Source organism: Homo sapiens, chromosome 1 (assembly GCF_000001405.40).
Source record: "Homo sapiens chromosome 1, GRCh38.p14 Primary Assembly".
Lineage (NCBI taxonomy): Eukaryota > Metazoa > Chordata > Mammalia > Primates > Hominidae > Homo > Homo sapiens.
The window spans coordinates 29,353,255-29,380,432 of NC_000001.11; the positions used below are offsets into that span (position 1 = coordinate 29,353,255).

Genomic DNA, 27,178 nt, shown 5'->3' on the forward strand with positions numbered 1-27,178 from the left:
GTTATCCCTGTGCAGAAGTGACAGTGGATCCCACCAAGAGCCAAGGGGAGAAGAGGAGCCCAAGTGTGAGGGGCTCAGGGCAGCTGCTCCCTGAGTGGGGAGAGTGATTTCTACCCAGGCATTGTCCTCCTGCCTTCTCCTGATGTGCTTCCTTAATGCCAGCTTATTAAGCAGTTTCCACCCTAACAAACATGGGTGCAGCCTCGGCCACTGTGAACCCTCTGCCAGGCTGGGGGAAGTCCCAGGTCCTGTCACCAAAATTACCATTGAACGAGCATTGAAGAGAAGGTGCCAGGAGTGGTGCAGCCCCTCACTAGCACCATCTTGTCCATCCTCACCTCATGGAACAGGAGGGCATAAAGCCCATTTTAAAGATGAGGTGACTGGCCGGGTGTGGTGGCTCACGCCTGTAAGCCCAGCACTTTGGGAGGCTGAAGCGGGTGGATCACTTGAGGTCAGGAGTTTGAGACCAGCCTGGCCAACATGGTGAAACCCCGTCTCTACCAAAAATACAAAAATTAGCTGGGTGTAGTGGCGCACAGCTGTAGTTCCAGCTACTTGGGAAGCTGAGGCAGGGGGATTGCTTGAAGGTAGAGGTAGAAGTTGCAGTGAGCCAAGAACATGCTACTGCACTTCAGCCTGGGTGACAGAGGGAGACTCCATCTCAAAAAAAAAAAATAAATAAAAAAATAAAAAATGGTGAGGTGACTGAGTTCCAGAGAGGTCAGGCCACCGACCCAGGCACCAGCTGGTGAGTGGCAGGGATGAGATTTGGAATGTATGTCCATGGGGCTCCAGAGAGGGCCAGTTCTAACCACTCCACCATCCTACACCTCATGATCTCCTGGGCACTGCCCACCACCTGCCACCCTTGGGAGAGCCACTCCCCCTCTCTGGACCTCAGTTTTCTCATCTGGAAAATAAAAGGGACAACTCCTGACCCTTCTGCTTCCTGGAATGTTGTGGTGGCTCCTTGTCTACAAGGTAAATGGACACATAATGACATGGACGATAGCACTGACCCCCACGCCACACATCTGAGCTCCTCAGGCCCGCTCTAAAGCCTATGGAGTAGGGAGCCTCAGCCTCATTTCTTGAGGAGAGAGCTGAGGCTCAGAGAGGTTCGGGAGCCCACTCGAGGCCACACAGGTAGAAAGGTTAGTGCTGGGACCGTTTTCTGTTGGATCCCTTCCCCCATCCTATAGGAGCTGAGCCTCCTTGCACTGTGATCACTGGTGGCTTTTGGACAAAGTAAGAATGAGTTTAAAGGGAACTTAAAAAATGGATCATGTCTTCTCTCACCATTTAATAGTCATACTCTGAACCAGCAGCTATGAAGCCTGCATGGCCCTGTCCAAATCCCCGTCCAAATCCCCACCCTTGCCTTCCCCTCCCTCACGGCTCCCAGCTACCTGCTCCTGCAGTTGCTGGAACATGTCCGCCCACGCCTTCTGCCTGACCTGCCTGTGAGCTGCTTCCTCTTCCTGGAATACTCTTCTCCCTTCCTGCCCCCTCCTCCAACCCACTCTGCACACTGCTGACAGAGGATCTTTAAACACAGGATCCCAGTGGCATCACAACCTAGCTTCAACCTCTCCCATGGCCCATTACTGCCCTTGTTAAGCTGCTAGACCTTGGCACAGCCCTCGTGGTCCCGCCTGACCCAGTCCTGGTGGTGTTTCCAGCCTTGCTGCAACCTCGCTGGGGTCTCTGTTCCCTGGATGCCCCAAGCTCCTTCTTGCCTCAGGCCCTTTGCATAGACCGCTCTGGCCACTAGAAAATCTCTTCTCCTCCTATTTACCTGACTGACTCATTCTGACCCTCCTGGTCTCAGTTCAAATGTTTCCTCAGTGGGGCCTTCCCTGGACTCCCCAGATCAATCCCTCTTTTTGTTCTCCCTCACATTGTTTTATTCTCTCACTTCACAATAAGCACCCACATTTTAAATTATATTTATTTATGTCTCATTCCTCTCCTAGACTATTTGCTGTCTCCAGATGGGAAACATCCTGTGATGTTCATGATGTCTAGCACAAAATAGGTGCTAGGTAAATAGATGGAGTGAGTGAATGAGTAAACAAAGTTGAACATCCTCAGTCTCTTGATGAGACAGAGATTCTGGGGGCAGTGTCCCCAGGAGGGCCTGACAGGTGCCTTTTCCCCCCAAGTGCCTGTATCCCCTTTGGTGAGTGAAGTCAGCAGGGATGCTGTCACCATGACTACACGCTCAGGAGCCCACATCCTGTTTCAGGACTATATTTAATTCCACTGTGCTCCATTCATCACTTCTCCCAGCAAGATCATAACATTTTGACATCAACAGGGGCCTGGAGATGCGAGCGTATCAATGCACCACTGAAATGTCAGGCGGGAGTCCCCCACACTCCCTCATGCCTGGAAAGGATGAACGGCTTCCACCCATAGGAGGCCATTTATCCTTTGCTTGTTTGGTGAGACCTGCTCCCTGGTGGGGGAGGTGGAAGCCGCCTGGAGGCCCAAGGCTGTTGGGAACCAGCAGGCACCACCGAGCCCACCTGTCTCCTAATAGGAGCTCACCGCAGCTGCTCAACACATGATTGGTTGAATAAAGGAATTAATCGGATTGATCCATCTGACTGGCGGTTTCTGCTGATTGGTTCCTCCTGTGATTTGCTTGTGTGATAAATACTTTCCTCTTCAGTCCTGGGTTATATAAGGCACTCGCCTTCCTATTGTGTGTCCATTCTGCTAGCAGCTGAAGGGGGCAGTCTAGCTGAGGCCCAGAGCTCAAAAGAACACCTAGGACATTACCTCTTCCAAGGACTATGGGGACGGTGGTGGGGGTTGAGTCCAGACCTCCACTCCCTCCAGCATTCCCTTCTCTTCCTACTTCCACAGAGAGCCCTATGAGCAGATTTCTGCTTTCCCAAATTTTCCACTAATTCAGTCTTCTGAGCCCTTGGATCCAGCCCCACCCTACTTTTGCTTACTCCATGGAACTCATTCTCAGCTTTAAGCTTGGCCCCCTTCCCCCCCAGTCACCTCAGGGAGACCCTTGTTCTCCTAGGATCATCAGGCGCAAAGGCAAAAAGCACATCAGCTCATCTAGAGGACCTCAGGCGTTTGTCCAGGAACCTGCCCTTCTATTAACAGGGTCCTCTGGTCTGACATGTGGACACTTGGAGAGAGGCAGCCCCACTTTCTCTAGAATCACAACCTGTAAACACCATCTGAGCCTGGAGTTGTTGGAGGCCACCTTCCCTGCAGTGAGGAGAAAGACTGCCTGAGAAAGGTATCAACACAGAGGGAAGCAGAGCTAAGAGAAGGAAGGAGGGAGCCAGGGCCTGGTGACACGGTTCGAGCCTCTGCCTCCACCCATCCCTGAAGCCATGGTTCCATGCTGCGAATTTTCCAGGAACATTCTAGCTTTCCTTAGCTATGTGTGTTCTGCCCCTTGCAATAAAAGTTCTGCCTAAAACCAGCCTCAATCAAGGGTCAGAGTCAAACTCCAGAAGGGAAGCAAGACCTGGAAAGGAGAAGCGAAGCAGCAGAGCTGAGGTGCCGGGAATCCTGGGCAGGTGCGCAGGGCGAGGGTGGGCGGGGCCGTGGGCGGTGCTAGAGGCGGGCCCGACTATGCCAATCTGGGGCGCCGGCCAATGGGAGCCCCTGTGTGTCCTGTCTTAGGATGGACCAGGTATCTTCTGGGGCCTGTGAGGTGAGACGAAGGTAGGAGTTATCGCCATCTTACAGATCAGGAAACTGAGGCCTAAAGAGGGACGCACAGCTAGAAAGGGGCAGAATCAGGATTCAGACTCTGTCAGACTCAAGCCCGAGGTCTGAAGGAGTTCCCTTAAACTGCTGGAGTCAGAGACTGCTAAAATAATGGAATCTCAGAATTCGTACTGAATCTGATAAAAAACAGGGCCATCAGGTGTCAAAGTCTAGTACGTCCCCCCACTCACCACACTGTGTCCAGGGCATGCACTCTCTGGGTCTTCCTCTGACCTCTCGGGCTGGCCCTTCTTAGTCTCTTAGCTGGGTCCTTCTCTTGTTCCTGCTCTCTCAAAATGGGAGAGCCCAGGGCTCAGTCCTCCACCTTCTCCTCCTCTCCATCGACATTCTCCCCCAGATGAGACCACCCAGTCCCATAGCAATACCATCTACACACTCGCCGCCCCCAAATTGACACTGCTCACCTGGGCTTTGACTCTGTCAGCTCCTGCCACATTTCTCCACTTGGACGTCTAACGGGCCTCTCAATGTGTCCGCCTGGAACTACCTCCACCCCCAGCCCAGCCAAGCCTGCTCTTCTCAGCTTCTGCCCTGTGTCCCCCCTAGCCCCAGTCTTCGGGGGTGGCCCCACCTTCCCCAGCCTGACTGGGAAGTGGGAGTGTCTGAGCTGCTCAAGGACACGGGCACTGGCTGTGCACCTAGTGTTTACCGCTGATGAGAACAGAGTTTGCAAACAGCTGTCCATGGGGCTGATTCGGCTCACAGATCCATTTCCTTTGGCTGGCCCTCATGGTGTTTTTTTGTTGTTGTTTAGTAAAATTTTAAATTTTAGAGTAGGTTTAGATTTGCAGAAAAGTTAAAGATAGACCAGAGAATTTCCATAAACCCAGCACTCAATTTCCCTCATTATCTCATTATTATATTTTTCAAAACATGCCTCTCTTTTTTTTTTTTTTTTTGAGACGGAATCTTGCTCTGTCACCCAGGCTGGAGTGCAGTGGTGCCATCTCGCCTCACTGCAAACTCCGCCTCCTGGGTTCACGCCATTCTCCTGCCTCAGCCTCCCGAGTAGCTGGGACTACAGGTGCCTGCCACCATGCCCCGCTATTTTTTTGTATTTTTAGTAGAGACGGGGTTTCACCACGTTATCCAGGATGGTCTCGATCTCCTGACCTCGTGATCCGCCCGCCTCAGCCTCCCAAAGTGCTGAGATTATAGGCGTGAACTACCACACCCGACCGCCACTCTTTAAAAGTGAGCAAAAATGAGGACATTCTACCAAAAAAAAAGACAGAAAAAGAAAAAAAAAACCATATATCTGCCATGTCCTGAAAAATCGGATGATCTACCCACGCTAGGCTCAGAATGGGCCACAGCCATGATGGGGAGCGGAGTCCCTCCCAGCCTGCCCTGTTTGCACAGTGTGTATTTGCTCTTATGTCTGGCTCATTTCACTGCTACATGTTCCCTGCCTGGCCCCCTTTGGCACTGGTTAAAATAATAGTAGTTTAAGATTCTCAAATCACAGTCATAGAATTGTAGACACCTAGACTTACAGAATCTTAGAATTTGTTAATTCATTCAATAAATATTTTCTTAATGTCCACTCTGTGCCAGGCTCTGTGCTGGGTACTGGGACAATTCTGCAGCTGTCAGGTGGAGAACAGATTGTCTTAAAGCAGGAGTGGAGGCTTGGAGCTGAAGAGGAGGTGGCCATAGCTGGGCAGGCCCCTCAGGCAGAGTGAAACCTCCCTGCCCACTGGTTTCATTCACACTCCTCCTAGTGCCAGCAAAGAGGGTCCCATGTCCAGACATGCCAGGAGCTTGGGCCTGCAATCATTAGGAACTACAGAATGTCCAGGAACTATAGAATGTCCAGGACATAGAATGTCCAGGGAGTCCCCACCTCCCTTCTCCTTGCTGGAAGAAAAGTGTGTGTGTGTGTTGCCTCCCAGCAGGGAAGTCTTAATTCTCTGTAGTCACTTAAAGTTCATGAGACATCTCAGTGTTCTATTTTTGGTTGGTTTCATCTCTGCAGTTCTCCCCAGCATGGGCAACTGGGATGGCACAGGGGAAAGGAATGATGTAGAAGCAATGTTTGAACAATAATGACAATATGAATGACCATGACCACCACTTGTGAATCATTACTACGTGCCAGACACTGACCTGCTTGCTCGCAGACTCCTCAAAAGAGCCCAGCAAAGTTGTCACTCCTCATTTTACAGATGAGGAAACTGAGGCTTTGAGAGGCTAAATAACTTGCTTAAATTCTCACAATGGCCAAGTGTGAGAGGTGGAAATCAAACCCATTGTCGGTCTAGAGCCTTCTCTCTGCCACTATCTGACCCTCTTGTAATTCTGTAATGTGGGGAAAAGCAAGAGAGATCAGATTGTCACTGTGTCTGTGTAGAAAGAAGTAGACATGGGAGACTCCATTTTGTTATGTCCTAAGAAAAATTCTTCTGCCTTGAGATTCTGTGACCTTACCCCCAACCCCATGCTCTCTGAAACATGTGCTGTGTCAAACTCAGGGTCAAATGGATTAAGGGTTGTGCAAGATGTGCTTTGTTAAACAGATGCTTGAAGGCAGCACGCTCCTTAAGAGTCACCACCACTCCCTAATCTCAAGTACCCAGGGACACAAAAACTGCGGAAGGCCGCAGGGACCTCTGCCTAGGAAAGCCAGGTATTGTCCAAGGTTTCTCCCCATGTGATAGTCTGAAATATGGCCTCGTGGGAAGGGAAAGACCTGACCGTCCCCCAGCCCGACACCCGTAAAGGGTCTGTGCTGAGGAGGATTAGTATAAGAGGAAGGCATGCCTCTTGCAGTTGAGATAAGAGGAAGGCATCTGTCTCCTGCCCGTCCCTGGGCAATGGAATGTCTCGGTATAAAACCCGATTGTACGTTCCATCTACTGAGATAGGGAAAAACCGCCTTAGGGCTGGAGGTGGGACAGGCGGGCAGCAATACTGCTTTGTAAAGCATTGAGATGTTTATGTGTATGCATATCTAAAAGCACAGCACTTAATCCTTTACCTTGTCTATGATGCAAAGACCTTTGTTCACGTGTTTGTCTGCTGACCCTCTCCCCACTATTGTCTTGTGACCCTGACACATCCCCCTCTCGGAGAAACACCGACGAATGAATAAATACTAAGGGAACTCAGAGGCTGGCGGGATCCTCCATATGCTGAACGCTGGTCCCCCGGGTCCCCTTATTTCTTTCTCTATACTTTGTCTCTGTGTCTTTTTCTTTCCTAAGTCTCTCGTTCCACCTTACGAGAAACACCCACAGGTGTGGAGGGGCAACCCACCCCTTCACTGTAACATGAAGCTATTTATAATGCTCACCTCACTGTCTTCTTGAGAGATGGAAATAAGATGATGCATGTATGTTCTCACTTACTTGTGGTATTTAAAAATCCAAACAATTGAACTCATGGAGATAGAGAATAGACGGATGGTCACCAGAGGCTGGGAAGGGCAATGGGGCTGCGGGGGAGAGGTGGGGATGGTTCATGGGTACAAAAAAGCAATAGAAAGAATGAATAAGACCTAGTATTTGATAGCACAACAGGGGGACTATCGTCAATAATAATTTAATTGTACATTTAAAAATAATTAAAAGTGTGTATATGGATTGTTTGTAACACAAAGGATAAATGCTTGAGGGGATGGATAACCAATTTTCCAGGATGTGATTTTTACACATTGCATGCCTGTACCAAACTATCTCATGTACCCCATAAATATATTAAATATATACCTACTATGTGCCCACAAACAATTAAAAATAAAAACAATTAAAAAAAAGACGATGCAGTAAAATACTTACCATGGTGTCGGGTGCAAAGTAGGTACTCAACAAACAGTAGCTGTTAGTATTAGGATTGTAGCTGATCCCAGAAGGAAAGTTGGCTTTGGCTCCCTATTCTAGCCCTACCACCCTCATAGGGGATGTCTGCACTGAGGCTGGTGTCTCTCTCTCTCTCTTCTGTGTGTGTGTATGTGTGTGGGAGGAAGTTGCTGTTTATTCCTCACTCCACTCTCTGCTAGAGGGAGGGAAAGATTTGGAGATCAATTCAGTGAAGGCAGGTAAGCTTCAAATACCTCTGAATGACTTGCAATTTATTCATCAGTTTCCTCGAAAACATCATGTCCTGTTCCTCTCAACCCCATTCTTGAATTTTTCACATTCAACCAGGCAGTGTCCCTTGACTGGGGTAATTTCAAGCAATCCTCTCTGTTCCAGCACCTTTGAGAGACAGATCTTATTGTGTCCACTTCACAGGTTGAGGAATCTATGCTTGTGTAACCCCTGCTCCCCTCTACCTCTCTCCAATGGGCAAGGCTGTGTCCCCAGGCCCTGCTCCACATCTGCCCTGCCCTAATCTGGGGCATAGTTGTGTGTAGAGACCCCATATGGGTGGGTCTCAGAGGAGCGCTATCAAAAGGGTGGCCACCTGGAAGGTAGAGAGAGAGCCCTCGACTTGGCATTGGAATCCCCTGCCTAATCCCAGCTCTGAGTCCCTGAGAGACCTCCTGGGATTCTATTTCCCCACCTGACAATAAGGGAATTGTACCAGATGATCTCTAGTATAAATGCTGTTCCAGACTGAAAAACAAGTAGAAAAGAATGAACTTTGGGTTGAAAAATGGGGACTAAACCTTGTTTAGGAGAACACAGGGTCCAGAGAGAGAGGATCATGAGAGCAGGGACCAGCTCCCTGAGGAAGAGCTCCCAAGGTCCGGGAGAAACTGCAGCAGACATGGTGGGGAAAAAGTAACAAGATCAATAGCAAACCCCAAACCTGGGGTGGCAGAGTGTTGGGGGTTTATGGGGGAGCTTGGGCATCGGAATCCCTTCAACAAGCTCGAGAGGTAAGGACAACGACCCCATTGTACAGATGAGTCAGGTGTGCCCTGAGGGGGAAGCAGCTCCCTGGAGATGCGGGCCAGGACTTGAACCTGAGTCTCTGCTTGGTGCCCTGTCCTCCCTGTGTGCAGGGTAGGAACTCAGAGGGCCTGTTCTGGGGCCAGGAGAATTGGTGGTGGTGGTGGTGGTTGTTGGTGGGGTGCGTTGATTTGTTCCCATCCATACAGAGCCACTGAGATGTGGGTTTGCATGGCTAGGTAGTGAGCATCCCATCTGTGAAGCGGGCAGGACCAACATCACTGCACCCACAGCACTCCTTGCCAGTCGGGGTTTGGAGCGCCAGGGCCTCCGGGAGGAGGCTGGTTTGCACCCAGGGCTGGGGCTGCATGGTGTCTTCAGGCCTCACTACCACCCCTGTGGGGTGCACAGTGGGGCTCCACTTTTCGCAGTGGAGGCTCTCAAAGGTGAAGGCGGACCCAGGCTCACTCAGCTGGGGAAGTGCAGATTCAGGGCAGGCCCAGAGCCCCAACCCAGCCCCTCTGAGCTCTCATCCTGAGCAAGGCAGTGAGGTGGATGCACATGTCTGCCGCCACGCCTGCTGCTCCCCGCTCTCCAGCACCCGGATGGTTCAGCAGTGATTGTTTTATTACTTAAGTCACATCCAATAATTTTTACTCCTTTGGCTGGACGTTGAGAAATGGTCTCAGCCACCGGGGTGGAAGGTGAATGAGGTATTGCTGGAGAAGAGGGAAAAAGGATCAGTTCGATAGAGGCTGAAGTGGTCCAGGATGCAGAGAAAGACCAGAGGCCAAAGAGGCCGGCCAGGGGTCAGGACAGTGGGCTTCCAGCTCAGCAACCTCATCACCAAATCCTTTGTGACTTGGGCAGGCCCATGACCCTCCCTGAGCCTCAGCTCCCTCCTGGATAAAATAACTGATTCCCTCATCCTTGTTCTGCTCCACGACCTGTTGTCCCCAGTACCAGGGTGTTGCATTTTTAAAAAGTTTTTCTGTTTTGTAGAGACAAGTTCTTGCCATGTTGCCCAGGTTGGTCTCGAACTCCTGGGTTCAAGTGATCCTCCCACCTTGGCCTCCCAAAGTTCTAGGATTACAGGCGTAAGCCACTGGGCTTGGCCCAGGGTGCTGAATTAGTCCTGCTCAGTGCTGCCTCCCCTCCCTTGGACATAGTGCTGAGGAAATGGATATTTATTCATCCAACAAGTATGTATTGAGCACTGACTGCATACCAGGGCTTATCCTGTGGGGATCCTGTGGAAAAGGGGGAACGGGACTCCTGGTCTCAGAGAACTTCCCTTCCCAAGGTGGAGAAGGAGGATAGGAAACAAGTGGAAACATCACTGGACAAGACACCTGATAGTGGCCGTGGAGACGAACCCACGTGACGGGTGACAGACCAGGAGGGGAAACATGCCTGTTTGGGTGGTGGGTCAGGGCTAGCTTCTGTGAGGAGGCGACACAGAGCTGGGCCCAAATGGACAAACCTGGAGGGTGCAAAGATGGAGACTATGATGACCAACCCTCCTGGTTTGTCCAGGACTGAGAGGTTTCCTGGGATGCAGGGCATTTGGTGATAAGACCAGGACAGTCCTAGGAAAAAGTGGGATGTGTTCATCACCCTAATAGAGACACGCATGGCCCTTGAGGAGCTTGTGGTTGGGTGAGGCTGACAGGCCCCCAGACAGCTACTCTTAATAGGGTAGGGAGGGCCCGGCTGGAGGTGAGCAGAGGAGGGGCTGTGTGCCCAGACCTGTGCCAAGTGCTTTACACATATTAACTCATTTAATCAACAACGCTGTGGTGAGGGCACCGTCACCATCCCCATTTTACAGATGCAGAAGCTGAGGCACAGCAAGATTAAGTAGCTTGCCCAAATGACACACTGGGAAGTGGTAGAGCCTAGATTTCAACCAGCCAGGCTGACTCTGGAGGCTGAACCCTTCACTACTTCACGCCGCTGCTGCTGCCGTGATAGTAGCAGCCAACCTGTATGGAGCTCCTCCTGTCTGCCAGGTGCTGGGCTAAGCACTTACAGGCCTCCTCTCCTCCACTCCTCTCCTTCACCCTTGGAGGTGGCTGTTTTTTGCCTTGTCTTTTCAGTCTCATATTTTTGTCCCAAGGACAGATGCAAGGTTGGGGTCCAGAGTGGTCAAGGAAGGGGCTCCAGGTCACATGATGTCAGCACCTGACCCCCAGTGACAGAGGCCTGGGGATCCAGGGCTTAGCATTCCCAGATGATTGGGAAGAAAACTGGAGAACAGAAGAAACATGACATATTTCCTTTCACAGAGAATACGCCTGTCTGAAGAGGCTCCTGTAAGACCCACTGTGCTCGTGGTGGAAACCCAGGTATCTGGCAGGTGGTGCTGCCAGCCAGCCAGAACCCTCCTTCTCCTCCCAGAGCTATTGAGTGTGGCCCCTGAACTGGTGGACACAGTCTCCCTGACTTGGGCACAGATTGAGATAGAGAGTCCTGTGCTGGGCTCCCAGAGAGTGAGTGATGGCTGCGCCCAATGGATATTCTACAGGAAAACATGAGGCCTGATTCCCAGAAGAAAGCCCAGGCCACAGACAAATGACAGAGACATGCAGGGGTGTGGCTGGGAGTGAGCAGATGATGAGTGGTCAGACAGGCCACTGTTTGCAGCCTCATCTTGTGCTCAATGGCAGGGCTGGTGGGTGGCTTACAAGTGTAGGTCACACCTGGACAGCCCCGAGGTTAGTTTCCTCAACGGTGAGAACAACAGGACAATCATAGTGGTGGTGGGAGGTGGGGGAACATGGGTGGCATTAGTGGCTCCAGATTTGGTGGGCCGTAAACAGGGCAGTGAGTTGGTCTGGTGGGCGCTTTAGGAAAATGTGGCTTTAATGTGGACAACGGGCAAGACAGTACCCCGAGACATGTTTGCAGAGCTGCTCTCTCTCGAGCTCCTATTTTCGTTGCCTCCTCCCATCTTTGTTACATGGAAAGATCAACTTATTCTTATTCCTCAAAATAGCTACTCTTGTCACTGACCCCAGCTGTTGAGTTGGCTAAGAACTGTCCAAGGGGCGAAACCTGAGGAGGCTGCGTGGGTGACTGGCTCAGGGGCAGGCAGATGGAGTCTGAGGGGCCTGTTGAGTCTGGATGCACAGATTTGGGCTGCCCTTAGCCTAGTGCTCAGGGCCCCAGGGCAGGGCTGGGAGTCAGCTATAGATAGAGCACAAGTAACAAGAGTTTGAGGGGCTGAAGACAGGTCTAAACTGAGTCCATGCGCTTGACTTTCATTGGCTGGGGGAGCTGTGCAAAGCCACGCCCTTGGAGAGGCTCCTTTCCTTCCCTCCCTCCCTCCTTGTTTCCTTCCTTCTTTCCTTCCTTCCTTCCTTCTTTCCATCCTTCCCTCTTTCCCTTCCTCCATCCCTTCTTTCTTTTGTCTTCTTTCTTTCCTTCCTTCCTTCTTTCCCTCCTTCCCTCTTTCCCTTCCTCCATTCCTTCTTTCTTTTGTCTTCTTTCCTTCCTTCCTTCTTTTTCTTTTTCTTTCTCTTCTTTCTTTCTTTCTCTCTCTCTCTCTCTCTCTCTCTCTCTCTCTCTCTCTCTCTCCCTCTCTCTCTCTCTCTCTTCTCTGAAGGCCCCATTACTTACCACCAAGAACTGCAGACCCTTTCATGAGCTGAAGCTCCAGCAGCTCCCCAGGCAAGCTTGCAGAGCTGTTCTCTCTGTCTCCTATTTCTGTCACTTCCTCTCATCTTCATTATATGGAAAGATCAGCTTATTCTTTCTGGTTCCTCCTTTCTTCCCCTCTCCATAGCCCATTCTCCTGACTTGGCATCATGTGCACACATGCACACATACATCAGAAACCATCTTGCAAAGATAATATTCTCATTTAGAAGGCAGGGGAAGGGGAGAAGCTGAGTGGGGAAAGATAACATTCTTGTGTATGTGTGTATGTGTAAATGGTTGAAATATGCACAGGATAATAAATCAATTCCTGCCACGGTAGGTTATCAACAAGTGCCTAGGAAAGTCCCTGCAGCCCTGAAATGCTGTGATTCTATGAATTTTAAGATGTCAGACCTCAAGGAGATGGGATGAGTAAAAAGCCATCACTCCACCAACGCTTCCTAGATACTACCAACTCTGCAGGCCTCAGGCCACTGGAGAACAGTCTCAGGTGTGCCAGTGTTGCTTCTTATCAGAGGAGAGAGGGACTGGGAGGAGGGCCATCAGCCTCACCAAGACTCTTATCCTAATGGCTCTCCTCCTCGCCCCTCAGTTACTGGGCACCATCTTGTTTCTCGAATCTCCCCCAGGACCTCGGCTGCAGCCGAATCTGTGGCACAGACTCACTGGTGAATTTGCAGCCAGTGGAGGAGGGATGTGCTGAAGAAATCACTGCCCATATCATTAATTCATCACAATTGGAGTGAGTGCCAGGCAAGAGGGGGCTCTGATGCTTTGAAAGAGGCCGAATAATACAGAGACTTGACTTGCCCCAAGGAGGTAAGAAGAGCCACAGGGACCAGGAGAGGAATCCAGGCAGAGAAGGGCATGTGTAAAGGCCCTGTGGTGGGCGGGAGCCCGGTGCATTCTGGGAGACTGAGAGAGAAGGCCCCAGTTGCTGAAGGCAGAGGCTGAAGAATGAGGAGGGGTCAGGATGAAGGGTCCTGGGGATCTTCCTACCCTGGCCCCGCAGCTGTGTTATCCCTTCACCAACCACGTGCTTCGAGGGCTCTCTCTGTGCCTAGTCCTGTGCTGGACATTAAAACTCCTGAGGATGGGGGCAGGAGTGACAAAGACCTCTCCAGGCTGACCAAGCTCCCCAACCACAGCCTCTGAGTCTGCTCTTGGCCCATGCTCCTGATGTTCTGCTGACTCTGAAGAGGACTGGTCTCTTCAGACAAAGAGGTTGGAGGTGCCCTCACCTGGAAGCAGGAAGGATGATTGCCACCTTCTCCAGCCACACCTCCTTAAAGGGCCCTGGAGCACATTAGTCAACTCTCACTTAGGCAGAGCGTGCCCCTCTCACACGGTGCCATCAAATGCCTCCCCATGAGCAGGAGAGGTACCTTGGCAGGTACCACAGGGGGAGTGCTGTGCAAGTGAGGACTCCACCTCACTCTCTGCCTCTCAATCAGACCAGACTGGAAAGGCCACCTTGACTCCCCCACTCCTAATCATGCAACGGGGAGGTGTCTGATGTTGCCTGTGGGTCTGACCCCCAGGCAAGCACATTGTCTGTGCACAGTGGATGCTCTGGCTGTCCCTGACATTTGGGGGGCCCAGGGCAAGAGCACAAATGGATGCCCACATTTCCAAATATTTAAAACGATAAACCAAATCAACAAACTGGTGAATAAAGGATGTCCTACCCTCCTCCTTTAACAAATGCAATTTTATAACAACGTAGGAGGCCAGTTTTGAGTTTAAAGTCTTCAGGCCCCTGAGTTCCCACCCTAGATGTGGAGATGCAGGGAGAACCGGACTTAGCCCCTCCTTGGTCCGCCACCTTCTCTTCTTACCTCAGGTCCCTCCCACACCTCAAGGGCCTCTCATGCATGTGGACACCAGTGCATGCATTCAAACTCTTTTCACACCCCCACCCCCACCCAGGCCTGTGTGCCCACCCGCAGCACACGCCACCCTCAGGAGGATGGACCCAGTGACAAGGCCCACTTGGGCTTGGGAAGTCGGCTTTGGGATATCTGGGCAGGGAGTGCTGCAGTCTCAGGTACCCAAACTATTGTCTAAATTGGGGGTTAGTTTCCAAAGGTCATGTCCTTTTGGCCACACAGATTCCTCATCTTATGAGGAGAGGCATGGCCAGAGGAGGAGCAGAGCAGAATTTGAGGAACAGTCATCAAATTCTGAGACCCAGGGCAAGGATCCATCTTGGCCAGGTCTGAGGATGGTGTGAAATCAGCCCTGATCCACTTGCCAGGCTGTCTGCCTGGCTTTGCAGTGGGATAAACCCAAGAGGCTGGACCAAGCCACTAGCAAGAGTAAGACTCACAGACCCCATGCCAAGACCGTGGACCAGAGATAGGACCCGAGTTAGGGCATGGAGGCCCAAGGGTAGAGTTGGATAGAGAAGGGGACTGGGCTCCAGAGAGTTGGACAGGTAAGATACAGGTAGGGTTTTACCTGCCTGCCTTATGGGGCTTGACGGACCCAGCCAGACTTCAACCATTTCACTCACGAAGCCATGAACACCAGTCAGGAGCAGGTAATTAATTGCAGACAGAACTCCAGGAAAACAATTCAACCTCCACCATGATGGCCCCGTGCCCTTGCCTGGATTTACCCACTCACACTCAACCCTATTCCACACCACAATGAATGCTTTTTCCAAGCGTCATCTTTTCAGGAGTTTGTGATTTTTCCTGAATTCATCTCCCCTAGCAAATCTTTTACAAGAAGGAATGTCAGTCAGCTTGGGCTGCTAGAACAAAGTACCATGGACTGGATGGCTGAAGCAACAGAAACTAATTTTCTCACAGCTCTGGAGGCTGCAAATCCCAGATCGGGGTACCAGCAGGGTTGGGTTCTAGTGAGGGCTCTCTTCCTGGCTTGCAGATGGCCGCCTTCTTGCTATGTCCTCACATGGCAGAGACTGAGAAAGAGGGAGTGCAAGAGAGAGAAGGAGAGCACACACAAGCTCCCTGGAGTCTCTTCTTATAAGGGCACTAACCCCATCATGAGGCCCCACCCTCATGACCTCATCTAAATCTAATTACCTTCCAAAGCCTCATCTCCAAATACCATCGCATTGAGGGTTATGGCTGCAACGTAGGAATTTTTGGGGGCACACAATTGAGTCCATAGCAATGAACACAGGCTGCTCTCATTCAGAAGAAGAGAAAGGAAACAGGTAACAGATGGTGGAGTGGACACTGCTTTGAACATAATGTGGCTTGAAAGGAGGAGCCACGTTTTCTCAGGTAGTTGTTGTTAATAATCCCCCCATACATGGGGACAGAGTGTTTGTTTATAAAGAAGATATTGTGACAGAGTGAGACTCTGTCTCAAAAAAAAAAAAAGGAGAAGAAGAAGATATTGTCTTCCATGAGATTTTCATGTGAACAGAAAAATCCATTTTCACATAGAGCCAGACCTGCCCTGTCAAAGCTGGATGGGGAGGGAGAGAGAGGTGTTTGGGGGCTGGAGAAGAATAGCTGTGGACCGGTGAATCCTGGAAGGGGCAGCCACAGCAAATGAGCTGTGGGAATAACAACCCCTTCTGTGGGTCCAGACGTCACTGTCTAAAGTCCCCTTCAGACCCCCCAGCTTGGGGCGACACCTACTGCCTTTGATGGAGCAAGTTTTCTGTGCCAGGTCCTGTGCAAGGCACTTTATGAGGATTATCTCCCAGTGTCCTCACCATAACTCGGAGGGAGGTGCTATTATTATCCCCATTTTGCAGAAGAAGAAACTGAGGCTCAGGGAAAGAGAGGAACCTGCCCCGCATCACACGGCCAGAGGCAGTGAAGCAGGACACGAGTCCCAGATGTGTGACTGGGGAGCCCACAATCCTGACCCCTGGGGTGTCCTGACCGGGGGTTGGGGAGGGAGCCCGTCTATCAGGAGCTGGGCTGAGCATGTTACCTGTTAAAGGTTATCTCACTCCCCACTGCAGTCCTTGGAGGGGACATTCTTATCCCCATCCCTGGCTCAGAGCAGTGAGGTCACTGGCCACCCGGGGCCATGGAGCCCTGTGCTTGGAAGAGGGTCAAATTCCCTCCACTCACTCCATACCCAGGGGCTCTTCCCTGCAGAGAGTGGCCCCCGGGACACGGCGTTTCTCGAGCACCCTGCCCCTCTCTCCTTCCTGTGCCTGCCAGCACTCAGCCTCCCACCCCTCACCCTGGTGCTGCTGTCCAGCCCCCTCCTGGGCTTGCTCTGCTTCCAGGCCCCCTGCTGGGCTCACCTACCATTACTGCAGCATCTCTGCCTGGTCTGAGAGGAGTCCCTGCTGCTGGGCTAATGGGAGAGAGGCTGGTTCACCCCTTCCAGGCAGTGTGAGCTTTAACAGGTGCTCGCAGAGACAGCGCACTCCACTGCAGTGGCCACATACCGCTTCTTAAGAGTTGGACCTGGGCTATCATGTTATCCAGAGGCACGATGGCCTGTTCAGGGGACAGAGTTGGTGGGAGAGAATGAGTCCTTTATTCTTCCTGGGCTGCTTGGGGTGTGTCCAGCTTAGTCCCTGACTTGCTATGTGGCTGCTATTGCTATTGTAATGCTGTCTAACACCACCTCCAGGACAGTAGCTGACTGCAGTAGGCATTTATTTTTCCTGCTCTCAGGTGTGGGGATTGACCAGGGCAGCTCCATTCCAGGTTCAAGTTGGGGTAGGGGCTGGCTCTAGGCTGGGCCAGGCTTTGGTCTGCCCCATGTGTCGCTCATCTTCTGTGGGTTGTGGCTCCCGAGGTCGTGTTCTTCTCATCAAAAATGGCACCAGGCCAAGAGAGTGAGCAGATGCTTCTTCAGGACCTGGTTCAGAATTGGCAACTGTCACCTCCACTCACATTCTCTTGGCCCAAACAAGTCACATAGCCAAGCTCTTCTACACCAGTAGGGCAGAGAAATATACTCTGCCTCAAGAGGGAGGACAGTGAATATTTGCTGAAAGAAATCTAAACTATTGCAGAGACTTTGGTCAGGTCACTGCCCATCTCTAGCCTTTGGAATTTCCTGTGTATGGTTATGGGTTGGGTCATTTCTAAGACTTTTCTCATCTCCAATACTCTATGATTCTCCAAACTGGAGTAGTGGAGTTTTATTACATTTCTTCCATCTGGGACTTCCTGGGCTCCCAAGGGGTCCCAGAAACCCACGGTGAGCTGGGGTTGGGGTCGGGGTACTGCCATCCAGGCTCCTGTTCTTTTAAGTTGCTAGGCTCCTCACAAACCTGGAGCCACGTCCCATCCTCCCCTTTCACAGTCCTGAGCTTTTTGCTGGGAATCACCTGCTGTCCTCAGTCTTACCTACTCCCTGAAACTCCTGCTCACAGCCAGCATCTACTCTAGAGCTGATGCCTTTCCAGCTCCAAACCCCCTTCATCTTTGACTGTGACTCTACTTTTTCCCTCAGTTAAGAAAAAATCCCAGTCCCTATCTGAGTCCAGTCCCAGGCCCCGACACCAGCTATTCTCATTTTGGACTCCATGAAAAAGGAAATGAAAGCCCAGCCCACTGAGGCTTGGCCCCTGTGGGGATTTCCTTCCCCTGCTCCATCAGCTAGACAAGGCACCTGCATCATGGGTCCTTCATTCCATGTGAATGGAAACCCCAGTCCTTGGCAGATGTGTTCATGCTTTGTTTGCATTTTAAACTGCTCTTCTCCGGGCCAGTTTCATCCCCTTCTTTTCCAGCCTCCAGCCTCCCCATTGCAGGGGCTCCCGGCCCTCCCTCTCTAATGCACCCTTTTGTGTTGCTGCAAATTGCCTTCAATTTCAGCAAAACAGACTGCCAGCTTTCCATAAAGTCCAAATTTCCTGGCCCTGAAGGAGCGGCTGGCTCTCCACCTTCTTATCCGAGTCACAAAGGAGGATCACAAAAGAGCATTTCGGATGTGACAGAAAGGTTTCCCCTATGGCCATAAATACAGCTCTCCATGAAGTGCATGAACTAGCCCAGAGGGCCCACCCTTCACGTGCACTCAGAAAGGAGAAGCCATGTGATCATCATGATACTATAACATGGATCATAACTCATGATTAGAGCCCTTCCCATGGGCTGGGTGCTGAGCTGGGCTCTTTCAGGCACTCTCTCTTGGTCCTCATCAAAACTCTTTAAAGCGGGTGCTATGACTATCCCTACTCTACAAAGTCACTGAGGCTTACAGAAGCAGTTTCACCAGGGTCATGCAATGAGTTAGCAGTGGGCCAGGGACCCTCAGGGCTGTCTGAATACAGGTGCTTCTAATTATATCATACTCATGTGTATGGGGCTGAACCAGTGTCCAAGCATACCCATGTGCTCTTCTAGCAATGAGGACCCCAGTATGCACCATGAAGCTACTCTTTTTTCTCTCTGATGAGCAACACCCCTGTGTGCATGGATGAAAAGCCTTTTTGCACACATGGATGCCTGCCTAGGTCATAGTGATGCCGTCCCTGTGAACACCATTCTGTGTTCTGGACCCAGCCTGGCAAGACTGCCTAGTGTTGGGCTTAATGATGAACCCACTTTCACATACACCCATATGCATCTTCCAGGAGTACTGGACTCCAGAGACCAGGATTGATTGGTGAAACTTTAGCTAATGAGCATGTTATCTAAGTGCCACCTCCCTCCGCCGTAAGGGAGATCTGTGAGCCCCTAGGGGATCCACAAGCCCCTGTTCCTTCTTTTAATCTGATTTACCCTTTTACAAACCCCCTCATGCCCACTGCCTGGCCGGGGAAGCCAGCCTTCCCCAGCCACAGAGGAAAATAATTAACTGCCATCATTCTGGCTTAATTAGCTCCAGCATGGGGAAGGCAGTTGTGATGGAAGGAGACTGGATTTCGGGGATGTGAATTATGTGTTCCCAGTGCTTCATCACCCTCTGTTACTGTCTTATCTTTATTCATTCTGGCAAATTAAATTAGCACTGCCTTTCCAATCTTATTCTCCAGGAGAAATTAAACAACAGCAGCAAAGAGAGAATTGGCCATAATGGGGCCGTTTGATGTACTTTGATTATCCTGCGTCTTAAAGCCCCACTGCCCTGGAAAATACCAGGTAATCAGATCTCCTGGGGATGCAGTTCGGAACATTCAGGGTTAGACATTTGCCTCTTCCTTTGCCTTTTTCTCTGCTCAAAATGTCTGAATTATACTCTTTTAGCTATTTGGAAATATACAATAAATTATCATAAACTATAGTCACCCTACTGATCTACCAAACACCAGGTCTTACTTCTATCAAACTGTATTTGTACCCACTAATCAACCTTTCTTCATTCCCCCTCTCCTTTCCACCCTCTGGTAACCACCAGTCTATTCTCTCTTTTTATAAGATGCACCTTGTTAGCTCCCACATATGAGTGGGAACATGTGATATTTGTCTTTCTGTGCTTGGCTTATTTCACTTAATATAATGACCTCCAGTTCTGTCCATGTTACTGCAAATGACAGGATTTCATTCTTTTTTTATAGCTGAATACTATTCCATTGTGTATATGTACCACTTTTTTTTTAAATTAGATCACCCATGGATGGGCATGTAGGTTGATTTCATATTTTGGCTATTGTGAATAGTGCTGCAGTAAACATGGGTGTGCTTATTCTCTTCATTATGTTAATTTCCTTTCTTTTGCATATACCCAGTAGCAGAATTTCTGGATCACATGGTAGTTTTATTTTTAGTTTTCTGAGGAAAAAACAGTTTCTCACAGTGCATGTACTAATTTACGTTCCCATCAACAGTGTGTGAGGGTTCCCCTTCCTCCACATCTCACCAGCATACATTATTCCCTGGCTTTATTTTTTTTGAGACAGAATCTCTCTGCGTTGCCCAGGCTGGAGTGCAGTGGCGCGATCTCAGCTCACTGCAACCTCTGTCTCCCGGGTTCAGGCAATTCTCTTGCCTCAGCCTCCTGAGTAGCTGGGATTACAGGCATGTGCCCCCATGCCCAGCTAATTTTTGTATTTTTAGTAGAAACAGGTTTCACCATGTTGGCCAGGCTGGTCTCAAGCCTGTCTTTTTGATAATAGTCATTTGATCAGGTGTGAGGTGATATCTCATTGTGGTTTTGATTTGCATTTCTCTAAAGTTTAGTGATGTTGAGCATTTTTTCATATACCTACTGGCCATTTGTATGTCTTCTTTTTTTTTTTTTTTTTTTTTTTTGGAGACGGAGTCTCGCTCTGTCGCCTATGTTGGAGTGGAGTGCAGTGGTATGATCTCGGCTCACTGCAAGCTCCCGGGTATGTCTTCTTTTAAGACAAAAAGAAGACTCTGATTCTTTTAAAATTAAAATCAGATTATTTATTTGTTTAGCTATTGAGTTGTTTGAGCTCCTTATATATTCTGTTATTAATCCCTTGTCAAATGAATAGTTTGCACGTGTTTTCTCTTATTCTGTGGGTTATCTCTTCATTTTGTTGATTGTTTTCTTTGCTGCGCAGAAGCTTTTTAGCTTGATGTAATCCATTTGTCTATTTTTGCTTTGGTTGCCTGTGTGTTTGAGATCTTACACAAAAATTCTTTGCTCAGACCAATGTCCTAGAGTGTTTTCTTCTGGTGGTTTCATAGTTTCAGGTCTTAGATTTAAGTCTTTAATCCATTTTGATTTGATTTTTGGGAATGGTGAGAAATAGGGGTATAGCTTCATCCTTCTGCATATGGTTATCCCGTTTTATTGAAGAGACTCCTTTCCCCACTGAATGTTCTTGGCACCTTTGTTGAAAATGAGTCAGCTATAAGTGTGTGGGTTTATATCTGGCTTCTTAATTTTGTTCTGTTGGTCTATGTGCCTGTTTTTATGCCAGTACCATGCTTATTTTGTTACAATAGCTTTGCAGTATATTTTGAAGTCAGGTAGTGTGATGTCTCCAGCTTTGGTATTTTTGCTTAAGATTGCTTTGGCTATTCAGGGTCTTTTGTGGTTCCATACAAATTTTAGGATTTTTTTTATTTCTGTGAAGAATGTCCTTGGTATTTTGATAGGGATTGCACTGAATCTACAAATTGCTTTAGGTAGTTTTGTCATTTTAACAATATTAATTTTTCTAATCCATGAGCATGCAATATCTTTCCATTTTTTGGTGTCCTCTTCAGTTTCTTTCATCCGTGTCTTATAGTTTTTCTTGTATAGACCCTTCACTTCTTTGGTTACATTGATTCCTAGGTTATCTTATATTCTTTGTAGCTATTGTAAATGGAGTTACTTTCTTGATTTCTTTTTCAGGTTGTTCACTGTTAGCATATATAAATCCTACTGATTTTTGTATGTCCATTTTGTATCCTGCAGCTTTACTGAATTTATCAGTTCTAACAGTTTTTTAGGGGGAGTCATTAGGTTTTTCTAAGTATAAGCCACACTGTCTGTGAACAAGGTGAATTTGACTTCTTCCTTTCCAATTTGAATGCCCTTTATTTCTTTTCCTTTTTTTTTCCCCCATAGGTGGTTTTCAGTGGCTTATGGATGGCCTTTATTTCTTTTCCCTAATTGCTCTGGCCAGGACTTTCAGTGTTATGTTGAATAAAAGTGGTGAAAGTGGGCATCTTGTTCCAGATCTTTGTGGAAATGCTGTCAGTTTTTCCCATTCAGTATGATTTAGCTGTGGGTTTGTGACATATGGCCCTTATTATTTTGAGGTATGTTCCTGCTATACCCATTTTGTTGACAGTTTTCATCACAAAGATGTTGAATTCTATCAAATGCTTTTTCGGCATCTATTAAATGATCATATGGTTTTTGTTCTTGTTTCTGTTGATGTGATGTATTACATTTACTGATTTGTGTATGTCAAACCATCCTTGCATCCCTGGGATGTATCCCACTTGATCATGGTGAATGATCTTTTTAATATGTTGTTGAATTCAGCTTGCTAGTACTTTGTTGAGAATTTTTATATCTCTATTCATCTGTGATATTGGCCTCTCATTTTCTTTTCTTGTTGTGTCTGTCTGGTTTTGGTATCAGGGTAATGCTGGACGTGTCAAATGAGTTTGGAAGTATTCCCTCCTCTTCAAATTTTTTGAAGAGTTTGAGTAGAATTGGTATGAGTTCTCCTTTAAATGTTTGGTAGAATTCAGCAAGCAGTGAAATCATCAGGCTCTGGGCTTTTCTTGGATGGGAGACTTATGGCTTTGATTTTGTTACTCATTATTGGTTTGTTTAGGTTCTCTATTTCTTCATTGGTAGGGTGTACATGTCCTGGAATTTATCTGTTTCTTTTAGGTTTTCCAATTTATTGGCATATAGTTGTTTGTAGCAGTCTTTGTACTGTTACAAATGATTCTTTGTATTTCTGTGGTATCAGTTGTTATGCTTCCTTTTACAGTTCTGATTTTATTTATTGGGGTCTTCTATCTTTTTTCTTAGTTATTCTAGCTAAAGCTTTGCCTATTTTTTATCTTTTTTAAAAAACCCAAACTTTTTGTTTCATTGATCTTCTGTATTGTTTTTTTAGTTTCAATTTCGTTTATTCCTGTTTATCTTTATTGTTTCTTTCCTTCTACTAATTTCGGGTTTGGTTTGTTCTTGCTTTTCTAGTTCCTTGACATGCATGATTAGGTTTATGTATTAGTCAAGGTTCTCTAGAGGGATAGAACTAATAGAATAGATATATATATATAAAGGGGAGTTTATTAAGCATTAACTCACAGGATCACAAAGTCCCATAATAGGCTGTCTGCAGGCTGAGGAGCAAGGAGAGCCAGTCCAAGTTCCAAAACGGAAGAACTTGGAGTCTGATGTTTGAGGGCAGGAAGCATCAGCATGGGAGAAAGATGTAGGCTGGGAGGCTAGGCCAGTCCCTCTTTTCACATTTTTCTGCCTGCTTATATTCTAGCCACACTGGCAGCTGATTAGATTGTGTCCACCCAGATTATGGGTGGGTCTGCCTTTCCCATCCCACTGAATCAAATGTGAATCTCCTTTGGCAACACCCTCACAGACACACCCAGGATCAGTACTTGGTATCCTTCAATCCAATCAAGTTGACACTCAGTATTAACCATCACAAGTTGTTTATTTCTACTTTTTAAATATAAGTGTTTATTGCTGTAAACTTCTCTCTTAGTGCTGCTTTTGCCGTATCCCACAGATTTTGGTATGTTATATTTCCATTTTCATTTATTTCAAGAAGTTTAAAATTTTTCTTCCTAATTTCTTCACTGACCCACCAGTTGTTCAAGAGCATGTTGTTCAATTTTCATGTGTTTGTGTCTTTTCCAAGATTCTTCTTGTTATTGATATCTAGTTTTATTCCACTGTGGTCAGAAATGATACTTGATATGATTTTAATTTTTAAACATTTGTTGAGATTTGTTTTGTGGCCTAAGATATAATCTATTCTGGAAAATGTTCCATGTGATGATGGAAAGAATATGTATTCTGCAGCAATTGGGTGAGATGTTCTGTAAAGGTCAGTAAGGTCTTTTTGGTCTAGTGTGTAACTCCAATATTTCTTTGTTGATTTTCTGTCTGGATGATCTGTCTTTACTGGGGGTGGGGTGTTGAAGTCTCCCACTATTATTGTATTGCAGTCTGTCTCTCTCTTTAGAACTATCAATGTTTAATTTATATACTTGGGAGCTCTAGGATAGGGTGCATAGACAATTATAATTGTTATATCATCTTGCTGAATTGACCCCTTTACCATTTTATAGTAACCTTCTTTGCCTTTTTTTTCTTTTTTTTTTTGACAGAGTCTCGCTGTTGGAGTGCAGTGGTGTGATCTCTGCTCACTGCAACCTGCAACCTCCACCTCCCCAGTTCAAGCAATTCTCCTGCCTCAGCCTCCTGAGTAGCTGGGATTACAGGTGCCTGCCACCACACTCGGCTAATTTTTGTATTTTTAGTAGAGACGGAGTTTCACCATCTTGGCCAGGCTGGTCATGAACTCTTGACCTCATGATCCACCCGCCTCAGGCTCCCAAAGTGCTGGGATTACAGGCGTGAGCCACCATACCTGGCCCTTTGCCTCTTTTTACAGTCTTTGATTTGTAGTCTATTTTATGCAATATAATATAGTTACTCCTGCTCTTTTTTGGTTTCCAGTGGGATGGAATATCTTTTTCCACCCTTTCATTTTCAGTCTATGTGTGTCCTTATAGGTGAAGTCGATTTTTTAATTTATTTTTTTCTGAGAGAGAGTCTCACTCTGTCACCCAGGCTGGAGTGCAGTGGTGTGATCTCGGCTCACTGCAACCTTCACCTCCCTGGTTCAAGCAATTCTCTTGCCTCAGCCTCCCGAGTAGGTGGGATTACAAGTGTGTGCCACCACGCCTGGCTAATTTTTTGTATTTTTAGTGGAAACGGGGTTTCACCATGTTGGCCAGGCTGATCTCAAACTCCTGACCTCAGGTGATCCACCCACCTTGGCCTCCCAAAGTGCTGGGATTACAGGCATGAGCCACTGTGCCCAGTCTGAAGTGGATGTTTTTTAAGGCAGCACAAACTTAGGTCTTTTTTCTTTATCCATTCAGCCACCGTATGCCTTTTAATTAGAGAATTGAATTCATTTACATTCAGTATTATTGATAAGTAAGGACTTACTGCTGCCATCTTGTTGCTTGTTTTTTTTTCGGTTGTTTTATATATCTTTTTCTTTCTTGTTGACTCACATTGTGATGAAATTATTTCTTTGGTAGTATGTTTTAATTTATTTTTTGCTTTGTGGTTACCATGAGGCTTATAAAAACATCTAATAGATATGACAAATTATTTTGAAGAGATGACAACTTATCTTAGATCACAAAGGAAAGGACAGAAAAAAAAGAACAAATGGGAAAAAACCTCTACATTTCAACTCCACCCCGAATTTTGATGTTATGTTGTCCAAATTTACATACTTTTATATTGTGAATATCTCAACAGGTTGCTGTAGCTATTATTATTTTTGATAGGATTTATCTTTTGGGATTCACAGTAGAGTTAGGAGTGGATTTCACAATTCATTTCCACCACAATTACAGTATTAGAGTATTTTGGGTTTCTGTGGAGTTAATTTTACCAGTTGGTTTTATATTTCAAGTGTTTTCTATTTGAATGTTATTTTTATTTCTTTCAGATTGAAGAACTCCTGTTAGCAATTCTTGTAAAATGGGTCTGGTGGTGGTGAATTCCTTCAGCTTTTGTTTGTCTGGAATAATCTTTATCTCTCCTTCATATTTGAAAGATAACTTTGCTGGATACTGTATTCTTAGATGGCAGTTTTTTTTTTTTTTCTTTCAGAACTTTGAAAATGTCACCCCATTCCCTCCTGGCCTGTATGGTTTCCATTGAGAAGTCTGTTGTCAGACAAATTGGAGCTCCTTTATATGTTATTTGCTTCTTTTCTCTTGCTGCTTTTAGGACCCTCTCTTTGTCCTTGACCTTTGAGAATTTGATTAATATGTCTTGAGGTAGTCTTATTTGGGTTGAATCTACATAGTGTTCTCTGACTTTCCTGGAGCTGGATATTTATATATTTCTCAAGTTTTGGAAAGTTTTCTGTTATTGTTTATTTGAATAAGCTTTATACTTCTTGCTCTTGCTCAACTCCCTTCCTTGAACACCAATCATTTTTAGATTTGGTCTTTTGAGGTAATTTTCCATGTCTTGTAGATGATCTTCATTCCTTTTCATTCTTTTTTTCCCCTCTGACTGTGGATTATTTTTAAACAGCATGTCTTCAAGCTAACTGATTTTTTTTCCTCTCCTTAATCCATTCTGCTGTTGAGAACGTCTAATGAGTTTTTCAGTTGAGTACATGTATTTCTCAGTTCCAAGGTTTCTGTTTGATTTTTAAAAAATTTCAATCTTTTTGTTAAATTCCTGTGATAAATTTTAGAATTGCTTTTCTGTGTTATGTTGGAGATCACTGAGTTTTTAAAAAACTGCTATTTTGAATTCTTGGTCAGAGTGTTCACATATCACTGTCTTATTAGGGTTAGTTACTGGTTCCTTGCTTTTTGTGTTTGAATAGGTCATGGTTCCCTGTTTTGCTTTTGTTTATTGCGGATATATGTCTATGTCTTTTCGTTGAAGGATTAGTTATTTTTTGTAGTCTTTTCTGGCTGGCTTGTTTTGGTTTTTATTAGATACTCTTGCTCAGAGAGTTTGTAATTTACCTGTTGATTTTCTTTGTTTTTTCCCCATTCTGTTGCTGCCTCTTTTTGACACTAGATGGCGCCTTAAGCACATGCTTGCCTTGGTTCTAAATAAGCAACTAGAGCGCTGCGTTTACTGACTGGGGAAAGGTCCCAAAGGGGAATACCCGAGTAGTGCAGGAAGCCTGGCTAGGGGTTCATGCCCTGGGAATCTGTGGAATGAACCTCCTACAGCATGGTGCTGCTTAATGGCCACTCTGATTTGGTGTTTCCTTTGGCCGAGTTACTAAGCAGAGTTTCCAGAATTGGGGATGGTAGTCCTGCCTCCCCTCTTTGTCTCTGACTGTTTGCAGGGATATTTCTCCCTTCAGGCATTCCTGAGACTTCTCATGGATTGAGGCAGGGACACATCTTCTGCCAGGAAACCAAAGATGGTGGGGAAGTTGGTTGTTTACTTCAATCTCACTTTTTCTGGTGTAGAAAATGTGAGTCTTGGGGAAATTTTCCATGCACTTGGTGCTGGGCAGTTTGGGAGAGGGGTGTTATGGATATGGAAGTCCAATTCTCTTAGCATCTACTCAGAGTTTTTTTGCTTCTCATGGCCCTGGGAACTGTCTCCTCTTTATATGTGAATTCTGGGATATTGCTGGCGATCATCTCAGTGCTGTCTAGTTCTTTCTGGTTTTCTATGGAGGGGGAGTGAAGCCAGCTTGCTACGACACCACCATTTTGGAACCAGAAGCCTGGAAGTTTTTTTAAAAGATTCCAACCCAGGATGCTCTCTGAGGCAACTCCTAGCCCTGTGACCAGAGGACCTTCTACTCTACGGGTTGCCAAACT

General features: G+C 47.2%; 2 annotated features.

The window, feature by feature from the left end:
• Positions 5,471–6,144: an enhancer, noted in NCBI's record as "H3K27ac hESC enhancer chr1:29685237-29685910 (GRCh37/hg19 assembly coordinates)". NCBI's record gives its function as "activates a minimal SCP1, AML or CMV promoter by ChIP-STARR-seq in primed H9 embryonic stem cells {active_cell/tissue: H9 hESC(primed)}" and the evidence as "EXISTENCE:reporter gene assay evidence [ECO:0000049][PMID:30033119]".
• Positions 26,283–26,577: an enhancer, noted in NCBI's record as "tiled region #1590; K562 Activating DNase unmatched - State 12:CtcfO". NCBI's record gives its function as "activates a minimal TATA promoter and a strong SV40 promoter by Sharpr-MPRA in K562 cells {active_cell/tissue: K562}" and the evidence as "EXISTENCE:reporter gene assay evidence [ECO:0000049][PMID:27701403]".